This window comes from Homo sapiens, chromosome 3, assembly GCF_000001405.40.
Source record: "Homo sapiens chromosome 3, GRCh38.p14 Primary Assembly".
Taxonomy (NCBI): domain Eukaryota; kingdom Metazoa; phylum Chordata; class Mammalia; order Primates; family Hominidae; genus Homo; species Homo sapiens.
The window spans coordinates 53,165,671-53,178,564 of record NC_000003.12 but is presented as its reverse complement, the minus strand read 5'-3'; the positions used below and the strand labels follow the sequence as shown (position 1 = coordinate 53,178,564).

The 12,894-nt window shown below is 57.5% G+C and overlaps 1 protein-coding gene across 9 annotated transcripts in view, besides 7 other annotated features; it reads right to left on the bottom strand.

The window, feature by feature from the left end:
* The window catches only part of PRKCD (protein kinase C delta), a 31,509-nt gene that overhangs the window by 14,153 nt on the left and 4,462 nt on the right, over positions 1–12,894 (bottom strand). For 4 of the 9 annotated variants that reach the window (NM_006254.4, NM_212539.2, NM_001316327.2 and 1 more), the window contains one exon: positions 28–161. In NM_006254.4, the coding sequence (NP_006245.2) occupies positions 28–142 (115 nt within the window). In that variant the 5' untranslated portion in view covers positions 143–161. Of the gene's footprint in view, positions 1–27; positions 162–4,956; positions 5,073–9,744; positions 9,863–12,894 lie in introns of those variants that run through there. The other 5 variants (XR_007095706.1, NM_001354676.2, NM_001354680.2 and 2 more) reach the window with 3 other exon arrangements.
* Positions 2,863–3,718: an enhancer, noted in NCBI's record as "H3K27ac-H3K4me1 hESC enhancer chr3:53208863-53209718 (GRCh37/hg19 assembly coordinates)". NCBI's record gives its function as "activates a minimal SCP1, AML or CMV promoter by ChIP-STARR-seq in naive H9 embryonic stem cells {active_cell/tissue: H9 hESC(naive)}" and the evidence as "EXISTENCE:reporter gene assay evidence [ECO:0000049][PMID:30033119]".
* Positions 5,695–5,744: an enhancer, noted in NCBI's record as "active region_19961". NCBI's record gives its function as "activates an Ori minimal core promoter by ATAC-STARR-seq in GM12878 lymphoblastoid cells {active_cell/tissue: GM12878}" and the evidence as "EXISTENCE:reporter gene assay evidence [ECO:0000049][PMID:35858748]".
* Positions 8,244–8,293: a silencer, noted in NCBI's record as "silent region_14461". NCBI's record gives its function as "represses an Ori minimal core promoter by ATAC-STARR-seq in GM12878 lymphoblastoid cells {active_cell/tissue: GM12878}" and the evidence as "EXISTENCE:reporter gene assay evidence [ECO:0000049][PMID:35858748]".
* Positions 9,490–10,170: an enhancer, noted in NCBI's record as "H3K27ac-H3K4me1 hESC enhancer chr3:53202411-53203091 (GRCh37/hg19 assembly coordinates)". NCBI's record gives its function as "activates a minimal SCP1, AML or CMV promoter by ChIP-STARR-seq in primed H9 embryonic stem cells {active_cell/tissue: H9 hESC(primed)}" and the evidence as "EXISTENCE:reporter gene assay evidence [ECO:0000049][PMID:30033119]".
* Positions 10,171–10,851: an enhancer, noted in NCBI's record as "H3K4me1 hESC enhancer chr3:53201730-53202410 (GRCh37/hg19 assembly coordinates)". NCBI's record gives its function as "activates a minimal SCP1, AML or CMV promoter by ChIP-STARR-seq in primed H9 embryonic stem cells {active_cell/tissue: H9 hESC(primed)}" and the evidence as "EXISTENCE:reporter gene assay evidence [ECO:0000049][PMID:30033119]".
* Positions 10,967–11,036: an enhancer, noted in NCBI's record as "active region_19960". NCBI's record gives its function as "activates an Ori minimal core promoter by ATAC-STARR-seq in GM12878 lymphoblastoid cells {active_cell/tissue: GM12878}" and the evidence as "EXISTENCE:reporter gene assay evidence [ECO:0000049][PMID:35858748]".
* Positions 11,047–11,156: an enhancer, noted in NCBI's record as "active region_19959". NCBI's record gives its function as "activates an Ori minimal core promoter by ATAC-STARR-seq in GM12878 lymphoblastoid cells {active_cell/tissue: GM12878}" and the evidence as "EXISTENCE:reporter gene assay evidence [ECO:0000049][PMID:35858748]".

The following is a 12,894-nucleotide window of genomic DNA, read 5'->3' as shown; positions in this document are numbered from 1 at the left end:
TCTCCAGGGTCCAGCCTCCAGGCCTACCTGTGCTGAGCGCCTCCTTCATCTTCACGGCACAGAAGGGCTGGTTCGCCTCGTCCTCGGCCTGCAGGGAGCCCAGCTCATAGGAGTTGAAGGCGATGCGCAGGAACGGCGCCATGGTGGGGCCTGCAGTGGGGCTGTGCACACAGAGGGGTGAGGCCAGGCGGCCGGGCGGGACCAGCGGGAACAGTCACGGGCAGCACTCAGGGACCCGCTCCCCCAGGGCTCTGCTATGATTGGGTTTGGCCCACATGATGCACACACACACTAGTCTCAGTTGCCAGTGTTAAAAACTGAGAGGTTTGCCAGGCGCAGTGGCTGACGCCTGTAATCCCAGCACTTTGGGAGGCCAAGGTAGGCAGATGGCCTGAGGTCAGGAGTTTGAGACCAGCCTGACCAACATGGTGAAAAGCCATCTCTACTAAAAATTAGCTGGGTGTGGTGGTGCATGCCTGTAATTCCAGCTACTCGGGAGGCTGAGGCAGGAGAATCACTTGAACCCGGGAGGCGGAGGTTGCAGTGAGCCAAGATCGCACCAGTACACTCCAGCCTGGGTGACAAGAGCCAAACTCCGTCTCAAAAAAAAAAAAAAAAGAAAAAGAAAAAGAAAAATATTGAGAGGTTTATGTAAGTCTGGATTTGCGGCGTCTCTGGTAAAACTGGAAAATGTGATGTTGGGCCCACTGGGCAACAGCCAGCTAGCACTGGGATGGCTGCCCTCCATCAATCTACCCCAGGCCAGGGGCACTCTCTTCACTCCTCCTACCTGGGCCCTGGTGGCATTTGCATCTGTCACCCCTAGATATTCATTTGGGGAGTCACTCAGTGACTCCCTAAGTACCCTATTGCTGGGTACCTGCTCCATGCCAGGCACCTGGTATGTGCCATTGTCACCTGGTAAGGGGACAGGACAGTACTGCCTCTTTCTCCCATCCTGCCCCATGCAGCCCTTCATGATTTTCTAAGTTTGGGGTTTTTTCTTCATAACTACCCAGGCAGACAAGCAGTGCCAAGATAAACACCCCCCACTTTTCAGATGGGGAAACTGAAACCCTAAGGCAGAGAATCAGAACCAAAAGCTGACATTCCACTAACTTGGCACCCACTCTGTTCAGGGATCAGGGCAGTGAGAGGCTCTGCCCACATCAGTGTGCCTGACCCTTCTAAATTGACCCCTTGGGGTCGAGTGCCTCTCGCTTGCCTGGAAGGTTGCCTGCACCTTCAAACTAATTATTTCCCCAAATATAAAACAGGTGGGCATGGTGGCTCACTCCCATAATCTTGGTACTTCAGGAGGCCAAGGTAAGAGGATCGCTTGAGGCCAAGAGTTCAAGGCAGCAGAGTGCCACGCAGTGCACTCCAGCATGGGTGGCAGAGTGAGACCCTATCTCTTAAAAAAAGAACCCAAACTGCCTAGGCGCGGTGGCTCATGCCTGTAATCTCAGCACTTTGGGAGGCCAAGGCAGGCGAGTCACCTGAGGTCAGGAGTTCGAGACCAGCCTGGCCAACATGGTGAAACCCCATCTCTACTAAAAATACAAAAACTAGCCAGGCGTGGTGGCGCATGCCTATAATCCCAGCTACTTGGGAGGCTGAGGGCAGAAGAATGGCTGGAACCTGGGAGGCAGAGGTTGCAGTGAGCTGAGACTGCGCCATTGCACTCCAGCCTGGGCAACAGAGCGAGACTCTGCCTCAGAAAAATAAAAATTAAAAAAAACCCAAACTGTATTTTAATGTTGAATGTAACGCTGAATGTGCCTTGCAGATTCATACACAGCAGCCTCCCACACTCCTGGGTTTCTCACCATTCTCTAAGTTAATGTTCACTACAGTAAGTGACTCCAAGGGGCTCCTCAGGTTGCCACTTGTGAAGGACACACAGGTGTGCAAGCACCTATGTGCACACTGGCTCCTGCCCAGGCCCCACAAGGCTGCTCCATAGCCTTGGTTGAGGGAGCGCTCATTCGATTTTGTGCACATGCACATGTATTCACTCCATCCTGAACATAAGCCAGCACACAGGGGCACACTCAGACACACACGTGTGCATGCACACACAACAGCTGCCCAGCCCCAGATGACTTCCTCCAGCTCCTGCACAAGGTGGCCAGAGCAGTGGCCAGCTCTGCTGGGAGCTCCCAGCTCAGATGAGCTCACAGCAAATGCTGACCTCACCCTGCAGCCCAGCCCAGTGAGTCCAGGCAGCCCTCTGAGGCCAGCAGCTGCCAAAGCAGAGAGCAGGACCCAGGCAGGGCAGGGGCAGACCCCACCACATTCCTTGCCCGGCCCTGGCTCCTACTCAGTGGATGTGAGAGTGGGTGTGCAAGCTCATGCCTGAGCCCAAGTCCCGAAGCCTTCAGCCTGACACCAGCAGGTGGCCTGTGTGCCAGGCCAGCTGCCCTTGACCTCTTGGTGGGCCAGGGAGAGAGGGCCAGTTGGGGGCTGCTGCTGGCTGCTCCCCAGGCTGCAGCATGCATGAATCGGTGTGTGTGAGGTTGCACGGGTCTACAGGAATGTGATTATATACAGCCATGGGAGTGGGTGGCACATGGTGGGCACTCAGTTGATACTGGAGTGAAAAGCAAGCTGCGTGGGCCTGGCCTCGCACATGTGCAGGAATCTGGGTGAGCATCCCAAACCCGTAAGCAAGATGGACATCTTGCCCCTTTTGCTGCCTGGCTTGTCCCTGAGGGTCCAAGAGATCCAGCACCCAGGTGAGTGCTCCCTGGGTCTGGAATGATTGGCAGGTCTGTGTCCACACATCCAGGGCCTAATCCCAGCAGATGCAGCTCTGCTGTTAGGAAAACCTGGAGACCCAGATGGGGCAGTAGGCAACTTCTGAGTGCCTCGGAGGATGATGAGGGTTGAGGGGACAGGGGCACAGGGATAAAGGAGGAGCAAGTGTGTTGCAGGTGGCCTGGGCTCCTAGGGGAGAGAGGCTCAGGGCAGCACATATGGCAAAATGATGGCCAGGCCGCCTGGGTGCTGCATCCTGACACCAACGTTGCCTTGGCTGTGGACTCTGTGCAGGTCACTTGACCTTTCTGAGCCTCAGCCCCCCCATTTCCTGATGAGCAATAGTCTCTTGGCTCAGGGTTGTGGGGATAATGAGAACTCACGTAGGATAAGGGCTACAATCAACCCAACAGGCCATGGGGAGGGGGTTCCTCTTACCACTATCACCCCCCTCACTGCGGCACCCATCCCTCACTGTGCACCTCCCTTCGCAGTTTACAAAGCGCACTCGCATCCCCCACCGCATCCATTCCGCCTGCCCAGCAGCCTGGGAAGACAGTCCTGGTTACAGATCCCACTGCTCAGAAAGGGAAACCAGGTCTCCATGAACATACAACTCACTCAGGAGCACCAGATGCTCCAACACCGGCCAGCCAGGTCCTCCTCCCAGCCACCAACCCTTGGGGCCCAGCCCTGACAGCCCACAGGCTCCATGGCTTCCCCTACCCCCGGCCTGCCCAGCAGGAGGTATGCGTGGGGACCACCCCAGGACTGCATGGAGGGTGGAGGAGACAGTGGGTCAGAGAAGCCCCAGGAGGGTGAGGCAGAGCCCAGGACCTGCCCACCCAAGGGTGGCCCTCCAGCTCTCTCAGGCCACACTCAGAGCAGCTGCTGCTCACATTTAGAAGCCACTGGAGGGAAAACCACAAACACAGCAGGCCCCAGCCCTAAACCTGCACTGCCAGGCTGCAGTGCCATGAGAACTGGGGAGCCATGGTCTTCGTGGGCTGCCCTGAGACTAACCAGCAGTAACCATAGCGTCAGACCCAACCTCCTAAGACTAAAACCAGGGCATGGGCTCTGGCCAGGTTCTGCCACCAACTCTGTCCCTGTTTGTACTACCCAGAGCCCCACATCTTCTTCCATCACTGTGTGACCCTCAGAGAGGTCCTGGGCCTCTCTGAGCCACAAGTCCCTGCTCTGCACAGCAGAGTCAGAGTCTGCCCCCTACCTCTCAGAGTGTATGGCAGGGAGATGGGGGTGAAGCAGCAGCACAAAAGCAAGGTGTGCTGACTATTTATAGCCCCCATGCAAATAGGACCTGGGCCACGGAGGCCCCAGAGGAAGGCCGCTGGCTCAGCCCCAGACTCATGGCCACTCTGCAGGGCCAGGGGGTGCCGGGGGCTCGACCCCACACAGCCTCCATGGGGACAAGCTCCTTGGAGCCAGCTGAGGCCAGCCAGGCCTTTCCCAGCTGCCTAAGGGCTCCTAGTCTCTATTCTGCTTCTCCAGCCTACAGCAGAGGCAGCTTTATGAAGCACAAAGCACCAGACTAAGGGTCAGTGTCTAGGTATGAATCTTGGCTCCTCCACTTACAAGAAGGACAGTCCTTTTCTGAGGCCGACAATGTCGCAGATTACCTCTGTAATTACATTAGCTCACGTTATCCCTATGCGGATCCAGAAGGGATTTTACTGATGAAGAAACTAAAGCTCAGAGAAGCAAAGTGACTTTCCAAAAGGTCACACAGCCAGTAAGTGATGGAAGGATAAATCCAGGCCTGCCCGATGTTGCAGCCCAGGTCCTTTCCAGTATGCCATGTTGGGAAGAAGAGACAAAGAGAGAGAAAAGGGTAGAGATGGACGGAAGACGGTAGAGGTGGAGATCAGCACACACAAACACACATGAAGACAGAGAAAACAGGGAGGTAAGGGCTCCAAGAGACAGGTACCCCATGCTTGACCAGTGGTCTTCCCCCGTGACCTCGCCACTTGGACCAGCCTCCATTTCCAAAACCCAGGGAAGGGCCAGGCATGGTGGCTCATACCTGTAATCTCAATACTTTGGGAGGCTGAGGTGAGCAGATCACCTGAGGTCAGGAGTTCAAGACCAGCCTGGCCAACAAGTGAAACCCCTTCTCTACTAAAATACAAAATTTAGCCAGGTGTGGTGGCGGACACCTGTAATCCCACCTACCTGGGAGGCTGAGGCAGAAGAATCACTTGAACCCGGGAGGTAGAGGTTGCAGTGAGCCGAGATCTTGCCACTGCACTCCAGCCTGGTCAATAAAGTGACACTCTGTCTGAAAAAAACTAAAAACAAATAAAACAAAAACAAAACCTAGGGAAGGCTTGGACACACTGGATCCCAGCCCCAGGGAATGTGAGCCCCAGATCAGCAGCCCAGAGGTAAGGAAAGGTAGTAGCTAGGTCAGGCCAGAGAAGGCAGGTCACCTCCTCTGGGACAAATGGAAACCTGTTCCCAGCCAGTACCCGGCAGTGGGCAAGGCTGGCCTCAAGGTGATCAGAGCGACCTTGGGTTTGGAGCTCCCGGGCACAGAAGTCCTGGTTGCCTCCAGCAGACAAGTATGTGTGCTGCACATCCACACGTGTGCTGATGTATACCAGCACAGGAGGCTGGGGTGAGGGACATGGCCTGAGGAGCGCCAGCAGGAACAGGAATGCATTTGCTAATTTTTCTGCATCACATGTAACTTGTTGGATAATGGTTTTGTCAAAGGTGAAAAACCCCAACAATCTCTCCACAAGAGATAGGTCTTCAGAGACTGACATGCCCATCTCCTCATTGTACAGAGGAGGAAACTAAGGCCAAGGTCCTGCAGTGAGGTTCCCTGGCTCCCAGATCCGGCCTGGTCCCCTCCACCCCACCCCTTCCCTGGTGTTCAATTCTGCCTCACAGGCCACAGAATGATGCCTGTTGGTCAGAGGAGTAAGCTGGGCTGGAGGAAAGAGGCTTGATCAGGCTGCTGGCGGGGAGGTGTGTGAGAGCAGAGGGAGGCTGCCTCAGAAACGTCTATGGGAGAAATGAGGTGACAGGCTGAGGTCAGTCAAAGCAAGGGCAATGAAAGACCAGTTGCAGCCCCTGGTGGGTATAGGGCGGTCTGGTTCCCTTGAACAGACCCCCGGGGAGCAGGGGATGTCCCCCATGCCACCTACTGCAGCCTTCTCCCCCACACACCTGACACCTGCCACGGAAGTCACAACTGCATGGCAGGTGGCACAAAGTGAGGGCCCTCCTAAGGATGCAGACTCTGCCTGGGGGAGTCCACAGTGTAGCCTGCCAGAGCCTTGTGGATGAATAAAGGAGGGCGGAGGAGACCAAGGCCCAGGCAGGGGCAGAAAGGACAGTGAGAGGAAGTGTGATCAGCAGGAGGGTGCAGGACTGGTACCGGCAGTCACGGCAGGGCAAGGGGGCCGGGCATGGTGGAGCTGCCAGGTTGGGTAGGCAGGTGGGTGGTAGCTGGGCTGGGAGGCTGGCTGCCTAGATGGCCTTCCCAGCGGAAACAAGGCAAGGAGGCCATGCAGGTTTCACAACCCAGGAAGTGGGCTCAGCAAGAGGAACAGGAGGTGGGAGGGGAAAGGCTAGCAAGACCCTTTAGGGTTCCTCCACCAGGGCCCATCCCCCAGCCTCCACATGCCCAGCCCTGTGCTGAGATAAGAACCAGATCTATGGACTCAGGTCACAGCCAAGTCCCAGAGCAGGGATGCTCCCCATACCTGCTCCTCCCAGGACAGGTACCTCATCCCCCAGCCAGCGCTCCTCCTGGGCCCCTCCCTCACCCCACACAGACCAACCAGTACCTGTGGCCTCTCCTCCCCTTACCCAGCTCCCTCCCGGTTGTCACCATCTCTGGTCCCTCCCCTACCCATTCTTCCCACAGCTGGGAACCTCCTAGGCTCTCACTGCCCCTGGAGAAAGCCCAGACCTCTCCAGGCCTTCCAGACTGCCCACTCCCTGGCCCTGTCCTGCTCTCTACCTCAATCCCTGTTCTGGCTACTCTGTGAACATATGTCTCATTTCCCAGCCCCCATATTTTTGCAGATGTTGTTCCCTCAGCTGGAACAGCCTTCTGAATTCCCACAGATCCTTCCAGGCAGCTCAGAAGGCTGGCCCTGGGGGACCCTTCCCACCTCTCAGGAAGCTAGCTGCTTTCCCACTGGTAACCTCTGCCACACCAGGCCCATGGAACTTACAGCCTGGTGGGAGCCAGTCACATAAATATGTGATTACAAAGGATGGTAAGACCTCTGTAGGATGCGCCACGCAGGCAGTGAGTAGCAGGGAGTGAGGGGGGCTGGAGGAGAACGGAGGCTGCAGGGACCTGTTGGCTGGGGGCCTTCGATCTGAGGGGTCAGCAGGAGCATAATGGCCTGCCCTGCCAGAGGGTCTGGAAGGTTCAGAGGGGCAGGACTTGGGAGCCTGGCTGTCATCGGCTCACATCCACCTCTGCCAGCTTGTGTGGGGTAGGGCCTCCTTGGAGGGAGGCCACCAGGCACAGGCCTCGAGTCACCAGCCAGCCCTAGGATATGAGGAGTCCTGGGCTCAGTCAGAGGGCGGTGCCCCAGGTACCCCTGAGAGAGGAACAAAGGCCCCTTCATGGCAGGAGCCAGAGAGCCAGATCCTGTGAGGACAAGGGGCCTCTGTGAGGAGCCAGGGTGGGGGATGCAGCCGGGCCTCTCCACGAATAACCACACGTGTGCACACAGGCACACTCGCCAACCCAAACAGCACATAGGGAGCCCCACTCGACATTAGACACACACGCACACAGTTGGAGCCACAGGTACGTACACACACTGCTGTGATGACACAGGGGCACACGTACACACACACACACACACACACAGAAACACACATGCACTCACCGGCTCTCACATCTCAACAGATACCCGGGCCCACACAGACCACACCCGACCACATAGGCTCCACACGCACGTGGAGTGCCACAAGCTGTGATGTACACACTGGCACAGAGATGCTCCAGGCAGACACAGAAACAAACATACAGTCCTGGAAGGACCCCACATCCCTGACTAGAGTCTGGCACCATGAAGTCCAAATGCAGCTTTTTCCACCACAGCCCCCAGGCACAATGGCTGGGGAATGGAGGAGGGGCAGAAGGGCAGCTGGTGTCAGGCTAGGCTGGGCCTTTCCACCCAGGGAGACGAAGAAAGTCCCTCTTGATCCAGAGCAAAGTCTAAAGTGTGTAAGGGAAGGAGTGGGCTGGTCAGGCACATCACTGGGCAGGCCTCCGCCCGCCCGCCCACCTGCCTGCAGGGCCCTGAGGCTATGGTGGAGGTTGAAGGTCACAGGTGGCAGTCACAGGCCTGGCGCGCAGGGGGAGGGGAGGGCTTGAACCTATGTTGGTAGGGCAGCAAGCCGGGCACCCCAGGAGCAAGTTCCTTGAGCTCCAGGCTCACTGTGCAGAAACCGAAAGAGAGGTTGAGCAATTCAACCAAAGCCACAAAGCCAATGGGGCAGACCCAGGGGGAAGTGGGGAGAGAACTTCCAGCTCTAGTCCTAGAACTGCCCATCTGGCCTCCAATGGGGTGAGGGTATGTGTTTGGAGATGGGAACAGCTCCTCCATCAGCCCCCAGTACAAGAGCCCTACTCCTTAGCCCTTCTTTCTCCCACAGAGTTCCCACGATTTTCCAGATGGTTTACCATTGGAAACAATCGTTTTGTGTTTGGGAGAAGGCAAGATGGCCACCTAACCCTTTTGCCAGTCATCCCCAGGATCTGGGCAGGATCCACATGATGCTTCCCCACTTTGGGGATATTGAGAAAGCTGGGAGAGAGGCAGGACCATCCCGCATGGTGCGCCATCCCACAGCAGGCAGCGGACAGAGGAACCGGCGAGCTTGGACCTAGACAGGCCTAGCTCAGATCTGCTGCCTGGGTGCTCCGCGATCTTGGCCCAAGTGCTCTGGTGTCTTCCAGACTTCCTTGGAAAGTGGGAAAAGAGGCTCTGTTAAGCCCCCCAGCCGCAGGGTGCCCTGTTCTGGCCTGAGGCTCTGGGCAGAACTGGGCTGAAGCAGGCAGCATGAGTCCACTGGCAGAGGCTGGCCAGCTACTGCCCCTCCCGGGGCTCCAGCCTCCCTGTCTCAACAATGGAGACCTCTAAGCTTTCTCCAGCCCTGACACTGGAGGACCCTGGGATCCTCCTCCCACCCCAACAACCCCAGCCCACAACCTACACCACGCAGACATCTGATCTAGCCTCAGGCCTTGGCGACTGCCTGCTCTGCTCTGCCTGTTTACCCAACACGGCCATAGACATGATCCAAAGCTTCCGGAGCTGTTGTGAAAACAGCGGCTCAGCCACCACAAGCCTGCCCTCCTGGGTGCCTTGGCAGAGACCTTTGAGGGACAGCCATCCCAGTCCTGTTCGTGGGCCTCTCAAATGCTCCCCCACCCCTTAGAAGGCCTGTTGAGCCCTCTCCTCCCCAATCCTGGCTTTAGGCTCCCGTCTCTACTTTGGGCCCAGACCCTCCTGAACTTCAGGCTTGTGGCCCCACCTGCCTCCCTGGCTTCACCACATGAATGACTCCAGAAGAGCTCAAGCCTGCCCACACCAGTCCCCCGCCGTTCCCCTCCCAGCGCTCCTCATCCACTAGGAGTGCACGAGCTCAGGCAGTGGCTCAGGCCAGACAGCTCCCCCTGCTCCCCACACAATAAGGCCATCCCGTCTGCCGCTGCAGCCTGTCCTCAAGTCTCAAATCCTCTTCTCCCACCACCACCATCCCCAGGCTCTGCACCTGTCTTCTGACTGCTCTCCATCCTCTACCCCGGCCCGACAGTCCCCCTGTTCCAGCCACCAGACGGGGCTTTTCAGACAGATTTTGTCACCCCCTGCCCAAGCCCCCAGTGCCTCCCATTGCCCCTCTGACAAGCCCAGACTCCTCCCCTCAGCCTGCTCCATGCAGCCTGCCCCCCGCCACCCCCCTCCCCATCACCGTTACCTCCCTGACCTCTCGGGCAGGCGCTGCCTTTCCCTCATTCCTGTGCCCCAGCCACGCTGACCCCTTTCAGTTCCCGAAGCAGCCAGTTCCTTCCCGCTTAGGAGCCTCTGGGCTTGCTGTTCCGTCTTCCTGCTCCACCCCACCCCACACAGTGGCTCCTTCCCATCGTTCATGTCTCACAGGACACCACACCCCGTGATCTGCCCATTTCACAGACGAGGCAAGTGGGGAACGGTCCAGTCCCTGGCTCAAGTGTGCACAGCCAGTAAATATTGAGCAAGGATTCAACCAGGGTCTGTCTGATGCCTGCAGAAGTCCTGCTCCTAAGCCTTCAGGATACCCTCAACCACACTTCCCGCCCAGGCCCATCCACCTTTCGCTCTCCAGCCCTCAGGCCCCTGCTGTTTGCATCACTGTCCTTACCACTCCTCAACACTCCTCATCCCCAGCCTCTGGGCCCCACACAGTGAAGGCCAATGCTTAGCCCAACCCTAACTGTGCTGACCTTCTTCGTGTCCCTGGGACAGGCTGGGCCCTGCCCCCAGCTGCCATGGGTGTAGGGGGTTTTCTAGCTCCCCCTACTCTTCTAGCTTCCATCAGTCCCAGATGCCCACTCCCTGCCCCAGCCCACAGGCTGACTCCAGGGGTCTGAAGGGTAAGCAGGCTGGCAGGAGGGCTTACGTCCACCCCCTCGTTCCCAGCCAATTCTCCCAGCCTAATGTCCTGCAGGAGGCCAGAGCTGGAGAGGGCCAAGGGGAGCCCTGAGGGGGCAGCAGGCAGCTGCAGACTGCCTTTCCCCTCCCTGCATCCATTTGTCACGAGATCTATTTTCTCCCTTTGAAAGGGAGTGAGGGGGAGAAGAGCAGGCAGGGGCTGGACTGCTGAGTGGGTGGAGCTGCTCCAACAGGAGCTCCTCTCCTCGGAGGGCATGGAACCTACTGAACAAGTAGGGCACTGCCACTGGAGGTAGAATTGAGGGGGATGAGGGAGTCAGAGACCTGGCTCCTCAGCCAGGCTCCACAGCCACCTGGCCATGTAACACTGGGCCAGTGCCCAGCCCATCAGATAATAATACCCCCTCATCAGTCCCACTTGCTATTTTTTGAATAGTTCCCATGAACTGGGCTCTAAATGCTTTACATAACTACAGTTTCTACTCATTCAACTCTGACAATGCACTAAGCACGATGCCAGCTACTTTGCATATGTTATCTGTCATTTCCGCACAACCTCATCAAGATGGATGCTATCATTATCTCATCTGTCAGGGGGAGACTGAGGCACTGAGCGGCAGAGCCACTTGCCCAGGTTCATTCATAGAGCTGCTGGGAGCTGCCTAGTCACTAAGATGCAGCCCAGCCATCACCTCTCTCAAGGGGGCCATGCCTACCAGAGTTGATGCTCTTGAGCCTCGGCTTACAGGCTCAGAGCAAGAAAGGAGCCACGGTTGTGGGGACTGCAGGGGACTTCGTGACCTGCCCCCTGCCCTTCTCCTAGAGCCCCCCAAAAAGGCCTGGGCAGCCCTGGCAGTGAAAAGCCTGGTCAGTCAGCCTAACCCGGTGGCCAGACGCTGCTCCCCTGGGCAGGCAAGGCAGGGGCGGAGCAAGGCGTAGAGCCACTGACAGAGGGCTGGTCAGTCCCACTCCAAAACCACTTCCTGGGCAGCTCAGAGGAAGTAAGCCTCCGGAAACGCCTTGAACAGATGGGCCTCTCTCCTAGGCCCAGGCTTTGGGAAGTGAACAGACAGCCCCTGCCAACCTCTCAGTCCCTAGAGCCCAGCAACTCCACTCCCTCTAGGCATGGACACCGTGGGGGACACAGGAGTTGATAGGACCCCCACCCACTGTGAGCACCTTGGCCCCATGGCCAGACAGCCTACTTCCTCTGCTGTAGCAGCAGGCACACAGTGCTGGCACAGCTGACACAGCCTCTCCCCCGCATTCATGCCTCCCATCTCCCATGCCAATCCCTGGTCGGCCTGGAGCCTGGGGCCAGGTGGGCAGGGTGGCTGCTGAATGCATGGGCAGAGCCCACCTACCAGGGTGGCCCAGCCCCCCTTACTGAGATCACAGCCACACCTGGAACTTGCCCCTCAGGTGCCAGATGCAGGCGACCTGACTGGGCTGTAACTCTGACCAGGGACCCCTTCCTGACCCCAGAATGGGCACAGTGCGGTATGTGTGGGCAGGCATTTGAGTGCATGGATGCCAACGGTAACTGGGAGAGCATCTGTGTGTGTGTGAGTGTGCCATGGGTGGCTGCATGTGAGCACCTGTGTACCTGCATGCCCACATGTGTGGTGCACGTACAGGAACTCATGAGTCTGTGGGTGTGCATGCCCACTGCAGCCTAGCTTGCCATATCCCTGTGTGAGCACGCATATGTCTGTGCAGCTGGAGGGTGATGTCTGAGGGTTTACAGTGGGCTGTCTCCAAGACTAATCAAACTCCTTACAAAACAAGGCTGAGTGACGGAAAGGGCTGGCTCTTCAGAACTTAGGTGGCAGAGGCCCCTAGACAGCCAAAGGCGCTTTACTTCCTCCACACCAGGTTTAGGGACAGGTCCAATACACAGAAGGCCCAGTGAAGACTGCTCCTGTTCTGTCCCAACTCCTACCCCAGAGTGAAGGCCCTGACCTCCCTTCTGCCCCCAACCCAGAGTCAGGCCCAGGAAGCCCAGCCTTTATGGCTCTACTCACAGACCTATAGGTGCGTAACAGCCAGTAGGGTTGGCTGTGAGGGTCTGCTCAGGGAGCACTCCTGGAGGAAAGACGGTCTTTGCTATCCCCCCACTGTTACTCCGAGGCTCCAGCTTCATTAGCACCCATACCCACCACCAGTACCCTGTTCACTGGGGCCCGGTCACCCAGTCACCAGCCTGGAATGAGTATGGAGTCACCCACAGCAATGTTTTCATGGTAATAGGGCTGAAGGAGGCAAGGCTCGCCCCAAAACAAGGAATTTCTAGCTTTCTGAGGGGATTCAAAGAGACTGCAGCCTTCCCAGCATTGTTCCAGACTCTGCCTAGCTCCCCTTGAATCTGGAAGCTGAAGAGAGGGACTGAGCCCTGCTCGGGCTCCAGAGAAGCTGGGGAAAATGGAGGGGCCTGGGGTGTGGAAGACAGCTCAGCTGTACCTGGAGCTGGAGACCC